At 38.7% G+C, this 25,621-nt stretch overlaps 1 protein-coding gene and 1 long non-coding RNA gene across 12 annotated transcripts in view; one reads left to right on the forward strand and one right to left on the reverse strand.

Annotated features, from left to right (window-relative positions):
• The window catches only part of ARMC3 (armadillo repeat containing 3), a 110,471-nt gene that overhangs the window by 82,852 nt on the left and 1,998 nt on the right, over positions 1-25,621 (forward strand). For 7 of the 11 annotated variants that reach the window (NM_173081.5, NM_001282745.2, XM_005252380.4 and 4 more), the window contains 2 exons: positions 19,692-19,892; positions 21,957-22,119. In NM_173081.5, the coding sequence (NP_775104.2) occupies positions 19,692-19,892; positions 21,957-22,119 (364 nt within the window). Of the gene's footprint in view, positions 1-3,195; positions 3,574-5,969; positions 6,036-19,691; positions 19,893-21,956; positions 22,120-25,621 lie in introns of those variants that run through there. The other 4 variants (NM_001282746.2, XM_017015832.3, XM_017015833.3 and 1 more) reach the window with 2 other exon arrangements.
• The window catches only part of LOC107984215 (uncharacterized), a 99,856-nt gene that overhangs the window by 15,481 nt on the left and 58,754 nt on the right, over positions 1-25,621 (reverse strand). The gene's annotated exons all lie outside the window — the stretch shown is intronic.

Raw genomic sequence — 25,621 nt, forward strand, 5'->3', positions numbered from 1 at the left:
TTCCCCTCTTCTTCCCTTCCCTCCCCCTTCCTTCCTTTCCCTTCCCTTCCCTGTTCTTCCCTTCCCTCTTCTCTCCTTCCCTTTTCTCCTCTCTCCTTCCCTTCCCTCCTCTCTCCTTCCCTTCCCTCCTCTCTCCTTCCCTTTCCTTTCCATTCCTTGTCCTTTTCTTTGTTTTGCTCTGCCCTACCCTTTGGCCTCTCTGAGCCTCTCCCCACTGGACTAAAAGCTCCTCAAGAACAAGGAATGTTCTAATTTGAATAGTTTATTTTCATCTCCTGTATTTAGCGCAGTGCCTGGCTGGCACTCATAGGCATTCACATTTATTCAAAAGAACAGAAATCCAAACTTTGGCAGGAAAAGGTTATTTCTGACAAGTTCCACACTTATAAATGATGCATCTGGAGCAAATGGGTTACCTTCTCTTTGTCTCTGTTTCCTCATCTGTAAAACTGAAATAAAAATAGAACCATTTTCATAGTGCTGTTGTAAGCCTCAAGTAAGTCACTACGTGTGAAATGCTTAGCGCGGTGCCTGGCACATGGTAAACACTCAACCAGTGTCAGTTTCTGTTGCTATTATTATTGTTGTACTAAAAAGTTTCGAGGAGCCAAAACCCACTCCAACCATACAAGGATATAAAGGAATTCAGTGCAGGGATGCAGAGGGTCCTCAATGGGACAGGTGACAACTGCAGGGCCTGCCCATCTCTCTTCCCCTCTCTCTTACTCCCTCCACCTGCATGGTAACTTACTTGCACTTGCTTCCTTGCTTGCTTTTTTTTTACAGCCTCTCCTCTAACTGTAGCTTGCATGTGACCTTGGTTTGCTAAGGGACCAAATCTGGCCCCAATTCCAAAACAGCCTTCCAGTTCAAAAGCCTGGCAGCAATCAAATACAATCTCTCTCTGTCTCTTCGTGCATTTTCAGGAGATGCAATCTTATTTTCACAGGCCATCCAGAATGTCAGCTGCCTCTGAGACAAGTGTTCCCCTTTAGTCCACCCAGCTATGGCCCTGGGAAAGACTCAGCCTTCTGCTCCCTTGCTAGGGACAGGCCACTTGACTGATGAGCAGCCACAGGACCTTATTGTACATATAGTCCCTCAATCAAAGTGCACCTTTCCCTCTGGTCCTCACCCAGACGAATGAACACATCAGCTTTCATCTTTGGTTCTTCTGCTCTTCTTGGATTTTTACAATTGTCTTATTTTTCTTACAGCTCAATCTGGTTCTTAATCCTAAATTTTTTGGGCAATCCTTCTGGGTGGGAACTCATTTTGTGTACTTGTGAATATCAAGCTGCTGATCTTCACACAGCTATAGTTTGCTTTATTGTGATATTTGACACTGATATTTTCCATAACTGTGAAACACTCACATCTTGATCTCATTAGATCCATGTCGCTTTGTTCTATAGATAAATCCCTTCTTTTTTGGCCCTTGGTGCTATCTTCTCATCCTTTGCAATACCGTAAATATCAATGTTCTCCAGGAGTAGTACTCCTGTTCCTACTCTCCATAGTTTTAGCTCCCACTCCAAAGCTGAGACCCTTCTCTTGAGTCCAGACCTGTGTGTCCAGTTGCCTGGTGGAGTATTCTGCCCTATCACTCTGAAGGCACCTTAAGTTCAATATGTTCCAACCTGAACTCATTGTTCACCGCAGCTCCCAAGCTCCCTCCCCCTCTCTTCCCTGTGCTTGTTCATGTTAATCATATTCCCATACAATCACCCATGCCTAGGAACCATCTTGAAGTCCTTCTCATTTATCCCCAATATGGAATGACCAAGACAGTCCTATCCACTCTATGTCTTAACTCTCCTACATCTATTTCTTCCCTTCATTTTCACTTTTACTTCCCTAGTTCAGGCCTTTATGTTATTCAATCACATCAACCTCCTTATCGTACTGTAAATCCTCCCACTTTCGCATAGCCCTCCATAAACCCGTCCTCCATGCATGTGCCCCCAGAGGTGCTAGCCCCCACCTTTTTTTTTTTTTTTTTTGAGACAGAGTCTCACTCTATCACCAGGCTGGAGTGCAATGGTGTGATCCTGGCTCATTGCAACTTCCGCCTCCCAGGTTCACGCAATTCTCGGGCCTCAGCCTCCCGAGTAGCTGGGATTACAGATGCGTGCCATCATGCCCAGCTAATTTTTATTTTTATTTTTATTTTTATTAGAGACGGGGTTTTGCCATGCTGGCCAGAGTGGTCTCAAACTCCTGGCCTCACGTGATCTGCCTGCCTCGGCCTCCCAAAATGCTGGGATTACAGGCGTGAAACACCATGGCCAGCCACTACACACCTTTTTAAATGAAAGTCAGATCATATGACTCTGCCTAAAACAAAGTTCCCTCTCATCTTATAGCTGAAGCCCATACTCCAAGCATGGCCCACCCTGGAATAGCCTTGCTTGTTTTGTGGCAAGTTCCTATTCATTCTTTATTTTCTTTACAGCTTTGTTTTTGTGAAGCCTTCTCTGATCACACCAGGATAAACATTTATTTTGTGCCCATTTTTTTGTGAATTTGGGTTTTTAATTATTTAGCTATAGTTTTTTCTCACTTTATCGAGGCTTAATTGACAAATGAATTATTATGTACATTTAAACATGATGTTTTGATATCTGTGTACACTGTGAAATGTTTACCACGATTAAGTTAATTAACACTTCTGTCACCTCAGAGTTCTCTTTCATTTTTTGTAGTTTCATGGTGAGAACATTGAAGATCTACTCTCTTAGCAAATGTCATGTGTACAATACAGTGTTATTAAATATAATATAATGTCTCCATGCTGTACATTAGATCTCCAGAACACAGCCCTTAGTCATCCCATGAAACTGAAACTCCTTTGTGAATGGATTCTATCTCTTCCATAGCCTGCACTGATTTGTGTTGATTTATTTGTCTTTCTTACTGAACAATGAGCTGTTTGAGATCTGGGACCACGCTTTTTTTTTTATCTTTATATCCGTAGAGCCTAGAATAGTATCAGGCTCATCAGGGGCAGTAAAAAATTATTTATTGATTAATAATATTAAAAATTACTTTAATTATTGAATGCTGTTTGTTGAAAGGAACAGATGTTTGACTCCTTTACAGTATGTCCAGGGAGAACAAATATAAACAAATGAGAATAATTATTCCTTCTTTGTACTGTCTTCACTCTCCCTCTTCCTCTGCACATTCTGGCAGCTCACTCCCCACTTCAAGATAAACCCTGAAGCACTCCTAGGATTTAAGAGGATTGTTGGCATGAGGAGAACACAGAGACTTTGGATTCAGACACAACTGGGCCTTGGTCTTCTGAATTGTAAATGAAAATGATGATCCCTGCCTCAAAGAGCTGCTGTAAGAGGAGAGATGGTGTCAGGAAAGTGCCTGACCATCACCTAGCACACTTAGGGGCTCAATGTGCGTCCCTTCTCTCTTCCCTTCTTAGCCTTTGGTCCATTGAGGGGTAGATTAGCCATAGCCCTGTTGTCCTGTTGCCTGTCTTTTGGTCAACCCTTCTTGTCTTATGACTATTAAAACTTTGGACTCCTGGAAATAGAATAAAATATTTTAACTGCATTCGTCTGAAAAGCCATTGGGAATATTTTATGTTAAAAAGAGTGAGACAATAGCAAAGACATGGGATCAACCTAAATGCCCATCAATGATCGACTGGATAAAGAAAATGTGGTACATATACACCACGGAATATTATGCAGCCACAAAAAAGAGTGAGATCATGTTCTTTGCAGAGACATGGATGGAGCTGGAAGTCATTATCCTTAGCAAACTGATGTAGGAACAGAAAACCAAATACTGTATGTTCTCACTTATAAGTGGGAGCTAAATGATGAGAGCACATGGACCCATAGAGGGGAACAACAACACACACTGGGGCCTACTGGAGGGTGGAGGGTGGAGGAGGGAGAGGATTAGGAAAAATAATGAATGGGTACTAGGCTCAATACCTGAGTGATGAGATAATCTGTACAAAAAAAAAAAAAAAAAAAACCCCATGACACAAATTGCCTATGTAACAAACCTGCACATATACCCCTGAACTTAAAATAAAAGTTAAAAAAAAATTTAAAAGAAGATCATAAAGGAAAAAAATAAATTAAAAAAGTGAGAGATACTGACAGAATAATGAGACATCGAGAACCATGGAGTGCTACATTTTTGAAAGGGAGAGGAGAGAAGAGATGGGAAAGAAGTAAGATCAATTACATGTGAAGTGTTCTAATATGGAGAAGAGAAAGGGGAAGTACGGATTTCTTTTTCCTGATGAATCTCATTACCATGCAGCATGTAAATTTGAAACTCTGTCTCCTGGGTGACCAGGCACCATATTACTTTTGGTTTCGAAGGCTTTAGTTGTACTCCCCTTAATGGCAAAACACTCATAGGAGACGTGATTAATTCGTTCCCTGGTTATCCACTCTCCTCCTTCCTTAGTCTTCACCGAAACCAACATATCTAACATTTCTTCTAAAGCTTTTCCTTATAGAGAACATTTGAATGTAAACATTTAAAAATAGCATTCACTAGATCTGTTTGTGAAATGTGTGATAAGTTCTGTCTACACTGTTCTTTTGTATTCAGACCAGTTTTCATGAACGTTCACTTGACTGAACATGAGTTTATTACACACATTTAAAAGTTAGTTGTTTTTCTGTCTCCTTTTTCATATCCTCTTTCCATGCTGATCATGTCTAGAGCCTTTTAGATATTTACAGCAAATGCTTTATTTAATACTTCTGTCACTCACACAATCTTGATCTACAGGATAATGATTTCCTAAAACATTTTTGTTTTTAAAATAATTTCCCACTACCCTCTTTTTACCCATAACTTAAACTGTTGTTGCTTCCTCCCCCAAATCTTGACTACTAAAGTCTTTCAGAAACAGATATTGTCTCTTAGTCACATGTAAACACCTTCTTACCTTCTTTTCTACAATTCATTCATTCAACAAATACTTATTGAGCGCCTTCTATGTGCCTGGAATTGTTCCAGTGCTGGAGATACAGCAGTAAACAAAAACCTTTGCCTTCATAGAACTTACATCCTAGTGAGAAGACAGACAACAAAGAAATACACACACTCACACACACTCACACAATCAGACACTACCCAGAACAAATCCTATCTCTACTTTGAACAACGCCTTGTTCCCATCCTTTTGGAATAAATTGGGTGGAATAGGACACCCAATTTGAATACATTTCTTTCAACATTGAACTCCTGGAGACTTTCACATCTTTATCACTCATGTGGAATTTATTGAATGCTGCCTGGTATTGTGATTATTTTCCACATAACAAAATCTTCTTGCTTAAATTGAAACCCCAAGAGGGCTGGGTTCATGACCTGTATTTCTCCCACCAGCCTTGTCCTAAAATTATGTATTTCAATAGTTGATGGTATCAAAAAGGAGCAAGGGATTAAACTTTGAAAATGTCAATAAGCGATTTAGAGCCAGCCAAATATTCTATATGTTTACCTGCTCTCCTTTTCATCCACCTATGAATGTAGAAAAATAACCTTAGAGCTTTGGATCCCACAGTAAATCCCTGTTTCCTGAGGTAGTTTTGCTAAAGTTTCTGCAGGAGAGGTAAAAGTTCTGCTGTCTTTAACCAAAAACTGATGCTCTGAGAATTAATTTTACCGGAGTTAATTTTATAATTTCCAAGTGTTTATTTCCATATGCATGAAATGAAATTTATTTAAGTACTGAAGCCCTTATTAATATAACCTGGCAGACTTCATGGGAAAGAAGTCCAAAAGAAATGCTTCTATTTATAGCAATAAGAAACTACAGTTCAGGAGTTCCCGGAAATTCTCTCTTTTTAATCATTCATAAGATTGCATTTCCTGGAGGTGTATCAGATATTTTCTCCTTCATGCCAAATGACTCCTTGTTCTTACATCAGGCAGCACGCTCTGTGAGACACACTCCTGCCTCTGTTTTGTAGGTAACTCTGAATAGTCACTCTATTCAGTGACGAAGTATTGGACTGACTGTTGGAACTGAGCTCTCCAATCTTACACCACCACCTTGCAATTTTAGAAAACAGGTGAACCTATCTGTGCTTCCTGCACTTCTAATTGACCTTCCTAGTATTGGTTTCTAATTTACTAAAATCTTAACTATGTATGTGACAATGTCCAATTTATTATTTTTTTTTTTACAAATAAGAGAAAGGGGTTAAGATGATCTCTCTGGGAAATACTAACTTTTGCTTAGAGATTTTATTAGAATGCATGGTGGGTGCATTCAATGATACATGATTAACCTCTCTCTTTTACTTAGCTGCAGCAAATATAATATTTAATTAGAAAGTATAAAACTTTTTGTACTTGTTAAAACGAATATAGAGCTTTGTAATTCTCAAATAGCAGTTGACAGGATTATTTTTCTATTCTTTTCTTCAAAATAAAAAGAAAATTCATCTGGACCTCAGTCAATTCTTCCCTCCCACCTTGTGCTTCAAGTAATACTTAAAGTTAAATAATTCCCAAACCCCCTAATTTACTGCTAGTGTAACAGATGCTCAATATGCATGAGTATATAACAAGTGATTGACCGGGCATGGTGGCTCACACCTGTAATCCCAACACTTTGGGAGGCCGAGATGGGCGGATCACTTGAGGTCAGGAGTTTGAGACCAGTCTGACCAACATGCTAAAACCCTGTCTCTACTAAAAATACAAAAATTAGCTGGGTATGGTGGGGAATGCTGGTAATCCCAGCTACCTGGGAGGCTGAAGCAGGAGAATCAGCTTGAGGCTGGGAGACAGAGGTTGCAGTGAGCCAAGATCGCACTACTGCATTCCAGCCTGGGCAACAGAGCGAGACTTCGTCTCAAAAAACAAAACAAAACAAAACAAAACAGGTAATTCACCTGCCTGGTCTGGCCTAGCCCCATTTTCTTGATTTCTTGACCCTCTGACACATTTGTTGTTTTAAGTTCCTTGTTCTCAAGAAGGTAACAAAATAAAAGCTGCAATCAAAGCTACTGTTTAATCTTAATATTGTCAGATCCTATTATAATGAACAAGGTGTGTAAGAAAATCTGCCCTCAGAAAGCAGGCTAATGTCACGGAGAGCAGTGTGGTAGATATTTAGATAAGGCAACAATTCTTTTTAATAATAAACAGAAGCATTTATTTGCATATCACTGGTTAATTGACAAAATTCTACTGGTAAAATGGAAAGGAACTAGCAGCAGTGTTGACTGCAAGTCAGGTATTAGAAACAGCATTGTGCTCCTTGGAACTCCACCTACTCAAAGTCCCACCCAGGCCTGTTCTGGAGACTTCTCTCATCATGCAAAAGAGCTAAAGTCCTTGGGCAGGGAAGCAGGTCTGTGGTCACAGCTGGGGTTGTAGAACAGCCTCCCAGCCCACACTGGAGTAACCAAACTGTCTGGAGTCCTGGAAACTTAGGTTCTCATTTCGTTCATTTTTAGACCTTCTGCCCAAAGTCATGTTTGGCCATAGATGGTGCCTCTTGATCTGTCTCTGCGTGACTGTGGCTCAGCTGAGAGCCTGTGTGCTTCAAAACCAAAAAGGCATCTATAATGGTATCATTTATTAGACTTGCACCTTAGTAATTTTTTTTTTTTTTTTTTTTGAGACGGAGTCTCGCACTGTCACCCAGGCTGGAGTCCTGTGGCTCAATCTCTGCTCACTGCAAGCTCTGCCTCCCAGGTTCAAGCCATTCTCCTGCCTTAGCCTCCCGAGTAGCTGGGACTACAGGTGCCTGCCACCACACCTGGCTAATTTTTTGTATTTTTAGTAGAGACAGGGTTTCACCACATTAGCCAGGATGGTCTCGATCTTCTGACCTCGTGATCCACCCGCCTTGGCCTCCCAAAGTGCTAGGATTACAGGCGTGAGCCACCATGCCTGGCCGCACCTTGGTAATTTTTAAGGAAAAACAGCTAAAGCCAAAAACTGGAAGAGGATAGGCTGCATCCTGGCACAGCTGTGAAGTGAGGAGGCTGTGACTCCCCTGACCCCTGCATCTCCCCTTTTAGATTTCCGTGAGTTCCTTGCAAAGCTGCTCTAGTGAGTGGCTGTGGACATCCTCCCCACTGCCTCCCAGAGGGCTGTCCAGCCTCACTGCTGGTTCTCCCAATGTGGGCTCTCAGCTAGCAGTGGAAAGTAGAGAAAGTAAGCCTTGCCAAGGCACAAATGACAGATAAGCCATTATTTACCAGCTCAGAAGTATTTTAACGAAACGATGATTGTCTCCTTTGCTACTGAAAATGTTCAAGTTTGTGTCAAGCTGTTTAGGGGTGTTTGGTGCAGAGTAAAAAGTGGGGTGCAGGTCATCAAGTCACACCAGCATCCCCTAGGGTGAGATGCAGAAAGTGAGTAAAGACAGACATTCCATCTATGGTGTTAGAATACAATTTGTGTAGAAGTAAAATCATAACTCTCATGTAAATATAAAGTGAATACACAGCAAGATTTATTTTAAAATTGATTTCTGTATACAATTCTATGAATTTTAACAAAAGTGGAGATTTGTATAACCATCATCACAATCAGGATACAAAACAGTTCCATCACCCCAGATAATCCTAACCCCTGGTATTTTCTATTTGTTCTCTGTTACTGTTGTTTTTCTGTTTTGCTTTGTTTTGTTTTTTTTAGAGACAGGGTCTCACTTTATAGTCTAGGCTGGAGTGCAGTGGTGTGATCTTGGTTCACTGCAACCTCCACTCACTGCAACTTCAACCTCCTGGACTCAAGTGATCCTCCCACCTCAGCCTCCCGAGTAGCTGGGACTACAGGAATGCACCACCACACCCAGCTAATTTTTGTAAGGTTTCGCCATGTTGCCCAGGCTGGTCTGGAGCTCCTGAGCTCAAGCAATTCGCCTGCCTCTGCCTCCCAAAGTGCTGGGATGACATGCGCAAGCCATCACCATGCAGCCACGCCTGTTAGTCTTTTTGAGAATGCCACATGAATAGGATCATACAGTGTGTAACGTTTGAGACTGGCCTTTCCACTCAGTGTAATGCCTTTGAGATTCTTCTGAATTGTTTTGTGTATCAGCAGTTTATTTTGGAGTATTATTTCACTGTGTGGATATACCACAGTATATGTCCACTCACCTGTTAAAGGACATTTGAGTTGTTTCCAGTTTTTGTTGATTATGAATAGAGCTGTTATAAACATTCATGTGTGTGTGTGAATGTAAGTTTTTGTTTTGTTTTGTTTTGTTTTGTTTTTTTGAGGCAGAGTCTCGCTCTGTTGCCCAGGCTGGAGTGCAGTAGCATGATCTTGGCTCACTGCAACCTCCGCCTCCCAGTTCAGGCAATTCTCCTGCTTTAGCCTCCCGAGTAGCTGGGATTACAGGCATGTGCCACCACACCCAGCTAATTTTGTATTTTTAGTAGAGATGGATGATGGTTTCTACTAAATGATGGCCAGGCTGGTCTCGAACTCCTGACCTCAAGTGATCCACTCGCCTTGGACTCCCAAAGTGCTGGGATTACAGGTGTGAACCACCATACACAGCCAGTTTTAATTTCTCTAGGGTAAATACCTGGGAGTGGGATTTCTGGGTCATATGGTAACTGTATGTTTAACTTTATAAGATACTAGCAAACTTTTCCAGAATAGCAATAGCATTTTGCTTTCTCACTGGCAATGTATGAGAGCTCCAGGTGCTCCACATCCTTGCTGGCACTTGGGATTGTTAGTATTTATTTATCCATTCTAATATGTAAATAGTGGTATCTCATCATGATCTTAATTTGCATTTCCCTAACAGCTAATGCTGTTAGCATTTTTTCATGTGCTTATTTGCCATCTTTATATCCTCTTTGGTGAAGTATCTGTTCAAGTATTTTGTCCATTTTTTAAATTGGGCTTTTGTTTTTGCTTTTTCTCAACTTTAATTTTAGGTTCAGAGGGTACAGGTGCAGGTTTGCTACGTGGGTAAATTGTGTGTTGCTGAGATTTAGTATATGAATGATCCTGTCACCCAGGTAGTGAGCCCAATACCAACAGGTAGGTTTTCAACCCTTCCCCACCTCTCAACCTCCCCCACCTGGTAGCCCCCAGTGCCCTAGTGTCTGTTATTCTCATCTTTATGTCCATGTGTATGCAATGTTTAGCTTCCACTTATAACTGAGAACATGTGGTATTTGGTTTTCTGTTCCTGCATTAATTCACTTAGGATAATGACCTCCAGCTGCATCCACGCTGCTGGAAAGGACATGATTTTATTCTTTTTTATGGCTGTATCGTATTCTATGGTGTATACATACGACATTTTTAAAAATCAAGTCCACTGTTGATGGACATCTAGGTAGATGCCGTGTATTTGCTATCGTGAATAGTGCTGCAATGAACATAGGAGTACATGTGTCTTTTTGGTACAATGATTTATTTTCCTTTGGGTGTACACCCAGTAATGGGATGGCTGGGTCAAATGGTAGTTCTGTTTTAAGTTCTTTGAAATCTCCAAACTTGTTTCCACAGTGGCTGAACTAATTTACAATCCCACCAACAGTGAATGAACGTTCCCTTTTCTCCACAACCTTGCCAACATCTGTTAATTTTTATTTTTTAGTTTTTTAGTAATAGCCATTCTAACTGGTGTGAGACGGTATTCTCATTATGGTTTTGATTTGTATTTCTGAAATGATTAGTGATGTTGCAGATTTTTTCATATATTTGTTGGCTGCATGTATGTCTTCTTTTAAGAAGTGTCTGTTCATGTCCTTTGCCCATTTTTAATGGGGTCATTCATTTTTTGCTTGTTGAATTGTTTAAGTTCTGTATATATTCTGGATATTTGTAGACCTTTGTTGGATACATAGTTTGTGAATACTTTTCCCCATTCTGTAGGTTGCCTGTTTACTCTGTTGATAGTTTCTTTTGCTGTGCAGAAGCTGTTTGTTTTTTTACTGTTCAGTCATGAGCATTCTTTGTCTTATATATGAGTCTTCTGTTGACCATGTGGCTTGCAAATATTTTCTTCCACTCTGTACCTTGTCTTTTTATTCCCTTAGCAGTATCTTTCTCAGAGCAAAAGTTTTTAATTTTGATGAAGTCAAATTTGTCAAAATTTTCTTTTATAGATTGTGCTTTTGGTGTCATGTCTAAAAACTCCCTGCTTCTTGGTGAATGCCTTGAAAAAATATGTATATTTACATTTATATCTATAGAGTGTTTACATACATAATAGGCTAACCCTAGATCAAGAAGATTTCCTCCTTTGTTTTCTTCAAAATATTGAATGCTTTTAGGTTTTCTATTTAGGGCTAGCATTAATTTTGAGTTAATTTTTACATACAATGTGAGGCTTATGTGGAAATTTACTTTGCATATGAATGCCTAATTTTTCCAGGAACATTTGATGAAAAGCAACATTTTTCTCTCTTGAATTATCTTTGTACCTTTGTCAAAAATCACTTGATGACTTCCTGCAGATCAAGTTGGCACAGACTAGTTTTTCTTTGCTCCTCCCTGCTAAATAGAACTATTAACCCTGGAAATAATGCAAGAGGCAAACAAAGGAGAACTCCAAAGGAGGCAAGAAGAAGGTGAACTGGCTGGGGACCCTATGACTTGGGGGAAAACACAGCAGCAGGGCATCTTATGTTCCCTCATCTAACAGAAGGCCCCCCAGCCTAGCAACAGAAAGCAACCAGTAGTCATTTGACAACACTAGGCAAACTCAGTGCCAATGACAAGGGGGTTGACTGGAGCCCCACTAACACTAGGAATCTAGGGTAAGCAAATGCCTCTTCTGACAGCCAGAGACAACTTCCCTTTTCCCCCTTCTACCCCTAGACCTGCCAAGAGATATCAAGGCAGCTGGGCAGGAGTAGCAAGAGGGACCTAGACACAGCAAGTATACCTGAGGGGCTGAGACTTGCTTCTCCCACCCAGAGATACTGGAGTGGCCAGAAGGGACCTGCTCAGACCAGGATGTGGCCAGCCTGGGAATCTGCTTTGTCCCAATAAGCCTGAGTCTCCCTCTCCCACTGAGAAACACTGGGCAGGTGGGTGGAACCTGCAAGAGGGACCTAAGCACAATAAGTACCCTGGTACAGGGCACTCCTTTGTCCCCATGGCATTGAGGCTACCTTCTCTCACCAAGAGACATGGACTGGGGGATGATAGTAGGGAGACATCTTGCCACAAGGGTCCTATCCATCTTACACAGGCTGGGGGAAACCAGCCACAACAAGCCCCTGCCTAGGGAAGCCTCTGGGTCCTTGCAGCCCTGAAATACCTATCCTTCACAGAGAGTCCCAGAACGGGGAAACCCCTCGTATTCCTTCAGATAACACCAGGAGGGACCAGTGGGAGTCCCAGCAGCCTAGTTAAACCAAGCAGAAAAACACGTACACTCACTGAAAGTCTCTGAAAATTAACGTGTCATTGGAATCACTGCCTACAAAAGTAGTCCAGGACCTCTCTGCAGAACTCCAGGGAGACTGCTTGCTAAAATACATAAAGAGAGCCAGAGTTTCCCAATATAATAGACAACATAGCCAGATTATGACCCACAAAAGACCTGTCATATCAGGAACCAAGAAAATCACAATACCAATGAGAAATGACAATCAATTAATGCCCACATGAAGATAAATCAGTTGTTGGAATTATCTGACCTGGATTTTAAAGCAGTCATCATGAATGTGCTTCAACAATCCATTACAAATTTTCTTGAAATAACTGAAAAAATAGAAAATTTCAACAACAAAAATAGCAGTTATAAAAAAGGAACCAAATAGAAATTATAGAACTGAAAAGTATAATAACAGAAATAAAAAGTCTCACTGGAAGGATACAATAATAAAATGGAGATGATAGATGATAGAATCAGTGAACTTGAGGACAGAGCAGTAGAATTCACTCAATCTATATAACCAAGAGAAAAATTAACTGGAAAAAAAAATGAACAAAGCCTCAAGGACTTACGGGACAATAATAAAAGATCCAACATTCATATCATTGCAGTTCCAGAAGGAGAGGAGAGAGGGTAGGGCTGAAAGAGTATTCAAACAGGTAATGATTGAAAACTCCCCACATTTGCTGAAAGATATAAACCTTTTGATTAAAGAAGAGGAGAAGATTCCAAATAGGATAAACCCAAAGAAAACAACACTAAGTTAATTATAATTAAACTTCTGAAATCGAGCAGCCAAAGAAAAACTATGCATTTCTTGTAGGAAAACATCGACTCAAGTGACAGTGTCTTTCTTATTTGAAACTATAGAAGCCAGGTGGAAGTGGCATGTTTTTCAAGTGCTGAAAGAAAAGAACTGTCAACCACAAGTATCTGGTGAAACCATTCTTCAGCAATGAAGAAGACAAATAAAGCCCTTCTCAGGTAAAGGAAAACTAAACAACTTACAGTTAGCAGGCCTATCCTAACAGATTGGCTAAAGAATGTTCTTCAAACAGAAAGAAAATGGTGAAAGAATCTGGAAGGATTAGGAAGAAAGAGGAATGCCACATAGATAGATAGATAGATAGATAGATAGACAGATAGATAGATACCTCCATGCAGTAGACTATCCATTTCCTCATGAGTATTTTAAGTCACATTTGATGATTGAAACAAAATGTATAACATCTTATACTCAAGACAATGATATTTTAAAGTAAAGGAAGTAAAGACACCTGAAAGGAGGTGAGGCTTCCATACTTTACTTGAAGCAGTAAAATGTGGATACCAGTACACTGTGATAAGCCATATTTGTACATTGTAATATCTACTGTAACCACTAAAAAACCTATACAAAAAGCTATGCTCAAAAAGCCATAAATAAGTCAAGATGGAATCCTAAAAACAATGTTCAAGTAACACACAAGAAGGCAAGAAAAGAAGAGCAGAGGAATAAAAACCAATTGAAAGACAGATTGGCAGAGTGGATAAGAAGTTATGATCCGACTGTATGCTGTTTAAATAAACTAACTTCAAATTCATTTGACATAGGTAGGCTGAAAGTAAAAGGATGGACAAAAATACCATGTAAACATTAACTTTTTATGGAGCAGGAGTGGGTTTTAAAATATCTTATAAATTAGACTACAGAGCAAAGAAAATTACTAGAAATAAAGAGGGACATTACATTAGTGATCAAATGAATTAACTTATGAGGAAGACATAATGATCTAATGTGTGTGAACCAAACAACAAAGCCTCAAAATAAATGAAGCAAAAAAAACCTGATAGCACTGAAAGGAGAATTTGACAACTTCACAATTATAATTGGGACTTCAACACTGCCCCCAACCCCCAGCAACTGGTAGAACTTCTAGGTGGAAAATTTGCAGGGATACAGAAGATTTCAGCAACAGCAGCAACCAACAAGATCTCATTGACATATGTAGAACACTCCAACAATAACAGCAGAATACACGTTTCATTAAAAGTGCATGTGAAAATTCACGAATACCCTGAGCCATAAAAAAAACCTCAGGAAATTTAAAATACTTGAAATTATACATAATATGTACAATAATCATGATAAATCAGATTATAAATTAATAACAGAAATACAACAAGAAAATCTCTAAACAAGTGAAAATTGAATGATGCACTTCTCAATAATCCATGGGACATAAAAGGACATCTCAAAAAAAATTAAGAACGTAGGACTGAAAGAAATTTAAAATAAAGCATATCAAAATTTGTGGGGCACACTTCAGGGAGTGTTGAGAGGAAAATCTATTGTACTAAATGCTTACATTAGAAACAAAAAGAGGTCTCAAATCAACAATCTGAGCTTCTACCTCAAGAAACTAGAAAAAGGAGAGCAAAACACTCCCAACACAAACAGAAAGAAGGAAATAATAAAGGTAAGAAATCAATGAAATTTAAAACAGAAACAATAGAGAAAATCAATGAAATAAAAATCTGTTTCTTTAAAAAGTTCAATAACTTGGGTAAACCTCTGCAAAGATGACAATTAATCAAAGACAGAGGACACAAATTGCCAAGACCAGGAATGAAAGAAGGAATTATTACTATAACCCCTCAACACACAATAAAGGATAATAGAGAAATGCTACAAGCAACTTAGTTCAGCAACTTAGATGCAATGAATGGACCAATTATTTATCAAAAACTACAAACTACCCGATCTCACCAAAGATGAAATAGACAACAGCCCTGTAACTATTAAATAAATTTAATTCATTAAAATTTTTTTCCAAAAAGAAATCTCTTGATCCAGATAGTTTCATTGGCAAATTTCACCAAACACTTAAAGAATTAACATCAATTGTACACAATTTTTTTCAGAAAATAGGAAAATAGAGGATACTTCTCAACTCACGATGATCTAATGCCAATCTATTTGCATTAGGTTACTCTAGTGCCAATACCAGACAAGGACATTACAAGAAAATTACAGATCAGTATTCCTCATGAACATAGATCCCTAAATCCTGTATGAAATACCAGCAAATCAAATTCAGCAGTATATACAAAGAATAATTTATCTGAGCAACTTGAGGGCTTTATCCTAGGAATGCAAGCCTGTGTCATGCTTGTCAATCAATGTAATCCATCATATTAGCAGTATAAAGAAGAAAAACCAACTTATATTAACTGACACAGAAAAAGCATTTGGCAAAATTCAACATCTACTTATGATGTTGATAGGATAAAAATAAAAATAAAACTGTTGAAAAAAGGCATAAAAGGTAATTGCCTCAACTTGATAAAAGCCATCTACAAAATAATCTACAGATCACATCATACTTAATGGTAAAAGACTGCAAACAATATCATAACTAGGATATTGACATTGATACAATCCAATCATTTTATTCAAGTTTATTTTTCTTCTACATGTGTATTTAGTTTTATACAATTTTATCACGTGTAGGTTTATGCCTCTACTAGCACAGTTAAGATAATGAATAGTTTCATCACCACGTGGACCCTCAAGTCGAATTGCCCCAGTACCATTTGTTAAAAAGACCATCCTTCTTCCATTGAATTGCTTTTGCACCTTTGTCAAAAATCAGTGGAGCATATTTTTTTGGTTTCTATTTCTTGGTCCTCAGTTCTGTTACATCCATCCATATGTCTATCCCTCTACTAGTATCACTCTGTCAGAATTACTGTAGCTATATAGTAAGCCTTACTATCAAATACAGTGATTCTTCCCACTTTATTTTTCTTTGTCAAGATTGATGTAGCTATCCTAAAATCCGTGCCTTTTCATATAAATTCTAGAATAAGATTTTCTATTATATGTCTAGAAAAAACCGCTGGGATATTGATAGGAATTGCATTAAAACCAGAGATCATTTTGGGGGAGAACTGACATCTTTAATAGTTACATCTTCAAATCCATGAACACAATACGTCTCATCATTTATCTAAGTCTTCTTTGATTGCTTTCCTTAGCATTTTTAATATTCAGCACATAGATCATGTAGGAATTCAACATGTTTTGCAAAGTTTATCTGTAAGTATTTTATTTGGAGCAATTGTAAATGCTTCAAACAGTTTTTTGGTTTTAATTTTGATTTGCACATGTTCCTTGTTACTTACTATATGAAACACAATTGGTTTTTGTGTGTTGATCTTATATCCTGACCCTTCGATGAACTCATTTATAGTAGTTTTTTTGGAGAATTCCTTGGGAGTTTCTACATAGACAGTCATGTCATCTGCTTTGTGTTTAGTTTTCAAGAGTTTGATTTTGATGTATCTGAGAGTAGATTTCTTTGGGTTTACCTTATTGGCATTCACTGAAATTCCTGACTGTGTAGATTTATGTTTTCAACCAAATTGAGGGAGCCATCTCAGCCTTTCCTTCTTTATTCAATGTGTTTTTTTCTATACTGTACCCTTTCTCTTCTCTGTCTGGGACTTTGATGACATCAATCTTAGACCTTTTTAATTGTACCACAGGTCCCTGAGTGTCTGTCAACTGTTTTTTTCAATCTTTTGTTTTCTATCCAGGCACGGTGGCTCAAACCTGTAATCGCAGCATTTTGGGAGGCCAAGGCAGGAGTTTCGCTTGAGCTCAGGAGTTGGAGACAAGCTTTGGCAACATAGTGAGACCTTGTCTTTACAAAAAAATAAAAAAATTAGCTAAGCATGGTGGCACACACCTGTGCTCCCAGCTACTCAGGAGGCTGAGGTGGGAGGATCACTTGAGCACTGGAAGTTTGAGGCTACAGTGAGAAGTGGTGGCAGCCAGTGCACCCCAGCCTGGGCAACAAGTGAAACCCTGTCTCAAAAACAAACAAAGAACAACAACAACAACAATTTTGTTCTGGGTGTTGTTCAGATTGGATGATTTTTATTGTTCTATCTTCAACATTGGCTAGTTCCTCTTTTATCTTCATTATGCTATTAAACCCATTTAGGTAGTTATGTTCTTTTAAACTTTTAATTACGTATTTCTCAGTTCCAAAATTATATTTTTATGTCTTCTATTTATTTCTAAGATTTTTATACTTCATTTCAAGAGTATTTGATCTTACTTCTTGAAGCATTTTTAAAGTCTTTGTGTAATCAACATCTGGGTCATCTAGGCAGTGGTGTCTATTGATTGTCTTATCCTATATGAGTTGAGATTTTCTTGGTTCTTCACATAATGAGTAATTTTAGATTATAATAAGTTATAAGTCCTAAGAGTCTTATTTATGGGTTTTATTTACATTCTAAGAATATTCCTTTTGGGTGTGTTTTAGCAGACAATTGACTAAGTTGAGTTCAGGCTTCCAATTCCAACCAGGCTTCTGTGGATTGTCATTCCCATGTCAGTTGAATTTTCAAAGTCTTTGCAGTGCTATTTGGATTGGTTCTGCATGTATGCCAACCAGTATCCACTTTGGGACTTGGATAGCAGTCTATCCAGTAGTTCAGTTTTCAAAGTCTATGTATGTGCTGTTGAGGGTCAAGCCATGTATGCACAACTCAGGATAAGCCTAGGAATTTATAAATAAATAACTTATGGGGTTGCTTTTCTGAGCTCCTTCTTTTCCATAATCTTCCTTGCTTTTTCTGATTCTTTGGGGACTTCCCTTTAGGTCCTCCAGCCAGAAAACTTTATTTACCTTGATCTACTGCACTCTTGACATGACTGCACCCATATCTACAGCCAAATAGCAGAAGGTCTGAGGTAGTATAAAGCAATTTTAGGCTCTTATAGGATCCTAGTGCCACCAGTGCCACCACTGTCACAGGATTCCTTATGGGCTTAGAATGCACAAGAATGAAGAAAAATTAGAAAGAACAAAAATTAAAACTGGGGCTTTCCTTTATTCTTTTTCTTTCTCTCAAGAGGGCATCTTCTTGAGCTTTCTCTGTGCTGATGTTCACTTCCAGTTACTGGGCTAAGTTTATTTCAGCATGGGGAATTATGGAATTCAATAGAAGGATAAACTCATCATCAGTAGAGTATTAATTCAAATTTTGTTCTTCTCTGCTCTTCCTGCTGCTATTTACTTTTCAGAGTCCTCAAACAGCTGTTGCATGCATCCTGTCCAGCTTTTGTGACTGTATTCAATGGGACAGACAGGGTGAAGTATGCTTACTCCACATTACCTGGAATAAGAACCCATGCTATTGTTTTTGTTTGACTCATTAATTAGGGAGGGAACCAGTAAGATGTTCATACTGGTTCAAAGAACCATTGAGGTGGAAGGTATTTCTATCCAATTTAACTAAGGAATATTCAAAAAAGATTGCTGAATTACATGCCAAATTGATTAACATCCTATAGGACAATAAACTGTAACCTTTGAGAGTATCTTTTCCATTGGACAGGAATTATTTGCATCTCTACATGTTAAAATATACATGCTAACTAGTAATTCTCTAAGACCAGAACTTTTAATTAAAATTTCATCTTTATTAAGTACTAAACTAAGTACATTTCTCTAGATAAACCTTGGATGAGTCTTTGTTCTTGTACGTCATGGAGATTACATGCCATTCTCATTTTGTAGGTTTTTTTTGCTTTATTTCCTTGTTTTGAATAATTTTTCTTAAAAATAGCAATCCAAATTATTTCTGCAGAAGGTCTTAACTGAAGTAACAGATGATGTAGCTGGCTTAGGCTCTCTGAGAAGGCAACCTAATTGTTTCCAATTCAATAAATATGTATTACATACCTACTACTATGTGCCAGACACCTTGCTAGGCAATTGTGCAGAAGACCAATATATGATTTTCATAATATATATCAATCACACAATGTTCTCTTGAAAATTAGTTTGTCCTGCCTAATATAGACTCTATAAAATTCTCCAATTGTCATTGAAAATGAAAATTTGAAAACTTTACATATGTATAAAATACAGTCATTCCTCAGTATCCATGAGGAATTGGTTTCATGAAGCCCTATAGATACCAAAATCCATGCATACTCTAGACCCACAGTCAGCTCTGTGGAACCCACATATATGAAAAGTCAGCTCTCTGTTTCTGTGGGTTTTACATAGCACAAATACTGTATTTTCAGTCACATTTGGTTGTGGAATGCGGAACCCATGGATAAGAAGGGCCAACTGTATTTACTGAAAAAAAATCCACATATAAGTGGATCCACACAGTTCAATCTCATGTTGCTCAAGGGTTCACTGTACCTTTTTTCTGTGATGCTCTTTTCAGAAATGCAAGAGCAATTGTTTGTTTGTTTAGCAGAAGATGTGATTTTGATTGCCCTTGTTTACTTTCAAAGGAAAAGCAAAGGAAAAAAAGAAGAGGAAAAAGTGAAAGAGGAGGAAGAGGTTATGGTGGTACCAAAATTTGTTGGTGAAGGAAGCTCTGACAAAGAATGGTGTCCTCCCTCTGACCCTGATTTCTCTATGTATGTGTATGAGGTGACCAAATCAATACTGCCAATAACCAATATTAAGGAACAGATTGAGGATCTGGCAAAGTAAGTTGTCTATGTATATATGTGTTTTTAATTTCTGAAAAAATTTTAGTGTCATATACATTTTAGCCATGTTTTAGACAAATACACCATAAATAAAATTGAAGTTTACAGCACTCTGACTCTGACACAGAAACACAATGAATTGGAAAAGTCCTCAACTTCTATTTAGGTCATACGTTCACTAAGAATCAGAGATAGCAGCTGGAAATTGCTTCAAGAAAAATGCCTGTCATTTTCTTCAGCTAGACCATGAAAAGCATCTTTCAATGTGATCCTGCAGAAGTTATGAATGAATCAAAAGTTTGAAGATTAAATCATCCCTTAGGTGGATGGGGTGTTCATAAGTTAAAGGAATCCTACTGTGAATTATTTGTAAACTGATAAATTTTCTAATACAAATGTCCAATGTCTCTTTTTCTGATCTGTTTCTGATATTTCGTGTTTCATGTTACTCTAAGTGGGGTGTGAGCATTCTAAACAATGGCTGCTTAGGCAGGCTCAGGGCTCTGTATAAGCCAGTGAAGTCGTCTTCTTCATTAGAGTGTTTAATTACACCAGGTAAAGGCTGGAATTGGACTTGGTAGCTGTAAGGGGTTAGGAATCACCAGAAGTGAGGACAGGCTTCGTGACTGACACCACTCAGTAGGTAAGCTGCTGGCTTGTGCAACAGCTGCAGCCTCCATGGGAGCTTGCATCTCCTCCAAATAGCAGTGAGTTGCTATCATGAAACCTGGATGTGACAACTGCAAGTAACACAGCTGCCAGATCATTGACTCTTTGTCAGCCAGAACTGGAAGAGAACATTTTTGGCTACTGAAGTGTTCCTGATGTCCTTGAGAAGTGATGGCTCAAGCGGAACTCTGTCTTGGCTTATGTGAACATCTGTCAAATCTCTTCATGCTTTGTTCCTATCAGTAACACTTTTCATCATTCTCAAACAATTGTCTTTTTTTAACTTGAGGCCACACCAAGATACAAAGAGAGGCAGAGATATGTCCCCATGGCTCTGGTTCCCTGCCATTCACTAAAGTACCCCTGGCTTGGTGGAACTGCAGTCAGTTCAACAGCTTTCTCTCCAACTCTTTCTCTCTCTTTTTTCTTTTTTTAAATCATTGTTCTTCTTTGCTTGGTTTTTCATGCAGCAAGAGGAATTTCTTTAAAATTCGCAATTTGGGCCAGGCACGCTAGCTCATGCTTGTAATCCCAGTGCTTTGGGAGGCCAAGATGGGAAGATGTATTGAAGCCAGGAGTTTGAGACCAGCCTGGGCAATATAGTGAGACTCTCATCTCTCTTTATAAATACAAATTAAAAAATAAAATTGCAATTCTGCCTTTACTCCAAGAAGGTAGTGGTCTTCAGAGACAAAGGGTATTGCAGGTGTGTTTACTGACTTCTTCAGTGACAGCCTAATATTAGGAGAAATCCACAAGCAAAGTATACCACATTTATCCTGCCTTGCCCACAGATCTGTGACTTTATTTTTCTTTTTGCCTCTTCCTCTTCTTCCTTGCTCCTGACTTCAGTGTTAAGTCACACCATGTCTTTCTCTAAATTAAAATAAATTTTTAAAGAAAAAATAAAAATATAAAACTTGAAAATGTTCTTAAATCTAATGGGAAAATGTTCTGTGTGTTTGTCTTGTCTCTGAGTTTAAATTCCTTGAAAGAATAACGGTATGTTACTTCAACTCCTTCCTTGGATTTCAGATTAAAATATTTAAAAATACTTTTCAAGAGTAAGAAAAAATTTTAAAACTGCATTGATATTTAGAGTTATATTGATTTTATCTTATTATAAGTATTGGGAAAAATCAGCACTCATTTTCTCCTTCAAATTGAATGAAATTGCTAGAATTTCAGTTTATATATGATGGTTTGCATACAGTAAGCATGCTATGCTACAGTAAGCATAACTATTTATGGTTAGTACTTTCTCAAAAATAAAGCACAACAAAAATCACAGCAAATGTCATTTTTACATGTATATTTACATGTAATTACACTCAAAGCATCCTAAGCGAGTTATTAAAATTGACCGATTTGATCTCAATGTAATTGACACAGGTATGTAGCAGAAAAAATGGGTGGTAAGATTCCAAAAGAGAAACTACCTGATTTCAGCTGGGAACTTCACATAAGTGAACTGAAATTTCAACTTAAATCCAATGTTATACCGATTGGACATGTCAAAAAAGGAATCTTCTACCATCGAGCTTTGCTTTTCAAGGTGTGTAAGGTATTTTGCCTCATTTGCCATTAAGTAAAAATGCTTTGTCTTTATCATACTGGAGTAGGCCAGTTGCTAACATTTAACTGGATATTATTAATTCTACCATTTAGATTTATTTATATCTACATATAAGTGTATATATACTTATATACAAGCATACACATATATATATATGAATATAAACATGCATATACACACATACCTGCCTATATAGTCAACAGACTACTAGAAGCATATTTATTCAATAGTGACCATACACCTACTATGGCGAGGGCCTCTGCTAGGGCCTGAGAGTACAGAGATACTAAAATGACAGTCCCTACACTCAAGGGGTACCTAAACCAGACTTGCAGCTTCCAAAGTGAAGTCAGGGAAAATTCCAGAGAAAGAGCTGATATATAACCCAGGTATGAGAGGCTGCACAGGGTTTATCAAGTAAAGAAGGAAAACAAGCGTATACTAAACAGAGAAAACATCTTATGCAAAATAATACAGGTATGAGAATCAGTGATCTATCTGAGGAAGGGTAGAATAGTTTGTGTGCATGAGGAAAAGAGGAGGGGCGAATGCTAGATCATAACGCATCATGTAAGTTTGGGCATTATTTTATTACCCTAAAATATAACAGTAGCCATTGAAAGTTTTCAAGAGGGTAACATCATTTTGAACCACTGTTCAGGCAACAGATGGGGAATGAATTAGAGCAGGGGCAAGACTAGAGACAGGAAAACCAGTTAGAAGGTGACTGAGCAAGAAGTGTGGTTGATCCATGCTAAATCCTAGGTGTGGTGCGAGAGAGTACATGAGAAGAACAAAACGATTTCTGGGCTTTGAGTGGGGCAGCTGGTAATGATGGCATTATTCCCTGAAATGGGGACATCACAGAAGGATCAGGTTGAAGAGAGGGGGTGATCTTTTGCTCCATCATATCCAGTGTCTGGCATATAACAGAAGCTGGGAAAATGTGAACTATAGACTAAATGCATAAATTCCCTACCCTTTCCCAAACACTTATAAACATCATTGCATTCACATGCAGCTTACCTCCAGTTCCAAGCGAATTCTATTATCTTTCCTATTCCCTTTCCTATTCCCTTGGATTTCCTATTCCCTTTCCTATTCCCTTGGATTTCCTATTCCCTTTCCTATTCCCTTGGATTGCCTGCTCTATCAATTCTTCCTTCTCTCCTGTCTTAACTCTCTTCTCTCTCTTAGCTATTTTCCCCTTTAAAATCTAAACATGCTTAACTCTGCAGTATATAAAGAGAAAATATAAAGCTTTTATCATAATAGCTACAATTACTACCTTAAATCCTATTACCATGACTAACATCATTTTGAACTATATGCCAGGGACTTGATAACTATAATTGTGAAGAGTTTCAAAAATGCCAAATATAGAAATGACTACCCTTGATTTAAAGGTGAGCAAACTGATACCTGGAGAAATAATTTTACCCAAGGTCAACCATAGATGGAGCTGAAATTTGAGCCCACGCCTACCTGAATAAAAGACCTACCACACTGCTTCTACCCATATAGATAATTCCCATTCCTGGTCAAAATTCTGAGTCATCTTAGCTCCTTGTCATTCTTTGGCACACCTCTCATTTTTGTCCTAACTCACGGCCATCTGGCTTTCGCTCCCACTCTCTCAATAAGGACGTTAGTGATCTCCCTATTGTCTGCCTTTCTTAACAGGTCAAAGAATTGGAGAACACCTCCAGGTCTCTCTTAAATATTGGGGTTCCTCAAGGTTCTGACCCAGACACTCTTCTGTTCTCCCTTTATGTACTTTGCAGGGTGAGGTTTTCCTTCATATGGCCTTAAATAGTACCTAAATACCTAAAATCTACAGATTATTTCCTTCATCCTTCAAACCTCCCCTGATTCCAGATCTATGTATGTGATTAGTAGCCAGCTAGCTCTATATGAGTGTCTCATAGGCACTGTATTTGTCAAGTTGAGCTGCTATAACAAAATACCATAGACTGGAAGATTAAACAGCATTTATTTATTTCTCATAGTTCTGGAGGCTGGGAAGTCCAAGATCAGAGTGCCAGCAGATTCAGTGTCTACTGAGGGCTCCCTTCCTGGTTTGCAGACAGCCACCTTCTTGCTGTATCCTCAAATGGCAGAGAAAAGGCTCCAATTGTATCCTCACATGGTGGAGAGCAAGCATGCTCTCCTGTCTCTTATTATAGGGACACTAATCCCATCGTGGGGTCTACCCTCATGACCTCATCTAAACCTAATCTCCTTCCAAAGACCCCCACCTCCAAATGCCATCACATTAGGGATTAGGGCTTCAACATATGAATTTGGGGGAGTACACAAACATTCAGTTCATAGCAGGCATCTTAAGCTCATTATGCCAAACAGAATTACCCTCACATCTCAACTGAGTCATGCAATTAATTACCCAGAAATCTCCCACCACTGAAATTCTGAACACCAATACTCACTGGTAAAATATCTTATCCTTCCCCTCCTCCTATATCCTTCAGCCCTTCTATATATACTCTTTATCTCCCTTATTTTCTTCCAGTTTTTTGGCCTGTTTGGCTTTACTTTCTTCCCTAGGCAGGATAGACAAATATACCACAGCCCTAATAATTCACTCACTCACTAATTTCCCCCATTCCCTCTCCTCCCATCCTTCCCCCTCTGCCTTGTCAACCAGGCCTTGTTCTGATTGCCTGTCTTTTCACTCATACACACCACCTACAGGCCACTCCTCTATAGGCCACCCTTTCCCAGCTCCTAGTGGCAGGCTTTTTCCTATTTCCTTCAGCTACTGGGCCCCACATCTGCCCTTTGCCAAGCCCTTCCATCTGCACTGCTCCCCTCTAAGCAGGTGACCTTGTGTCCCACTTCACAAAGAAAACAGGGAGTTTCAGATGGGAATTCCTTCACCTCAGTCAGCAGCAGTTATTACCCTGACATTAAAAACTCAGACTCCAGAGACAGATGCCCTCGCTCTCACTTTCCGTCACCACATACCATGACCTTAGGAAAATTATGCGACCTCAGTTTTACCCTCTATAAAACGGGGAAAACAATAGCATCTATTCCACAGGGTTGGTTGTTTTGATGATTTACAAGGCTTTGACACGGAGTGTTACTTTTGGAAACATCTTATAATTATATATTTATTTTTGTCTCTCTACCCCACTGAACTATGAGTGCCATACATTCAGATACTATTTGTGTTATAGTTGATTCTTTACCAGTAGGTCTATGTAGAATGTAAGGCTCTAAAAATGATAACCATGTCTTAATCATCATGGTCCACCCAAGACACAGTGACCTGGTGCAGTCATTATATTGTCAGTAATAAATAAATTAATATATACATATACAGGGTTCTAAAACAACACAATTCCTGCCTTCTGGTGCTATGTAGTATTAACTGAGTATGTAGCCTTGCTGGTGTTCGCTGCTTTAAGCACTGGACAGATAATTGACTTCATCTTCCTAATACCTTATGAAGAAAGTA

Source organism: Homo sapiens, chromosome 10, assembly GCF_000001405.40.
Source record: "Homo sapiens chromosome 10, GRCh38.p14 Primary Assembly".
Taxonomy (NCBI): domain Eukaryota; kingdom Metazoa; phylum Chordata; class Mammalia; order Primates; family Hominidae; genus Homo; species Homo sapiens.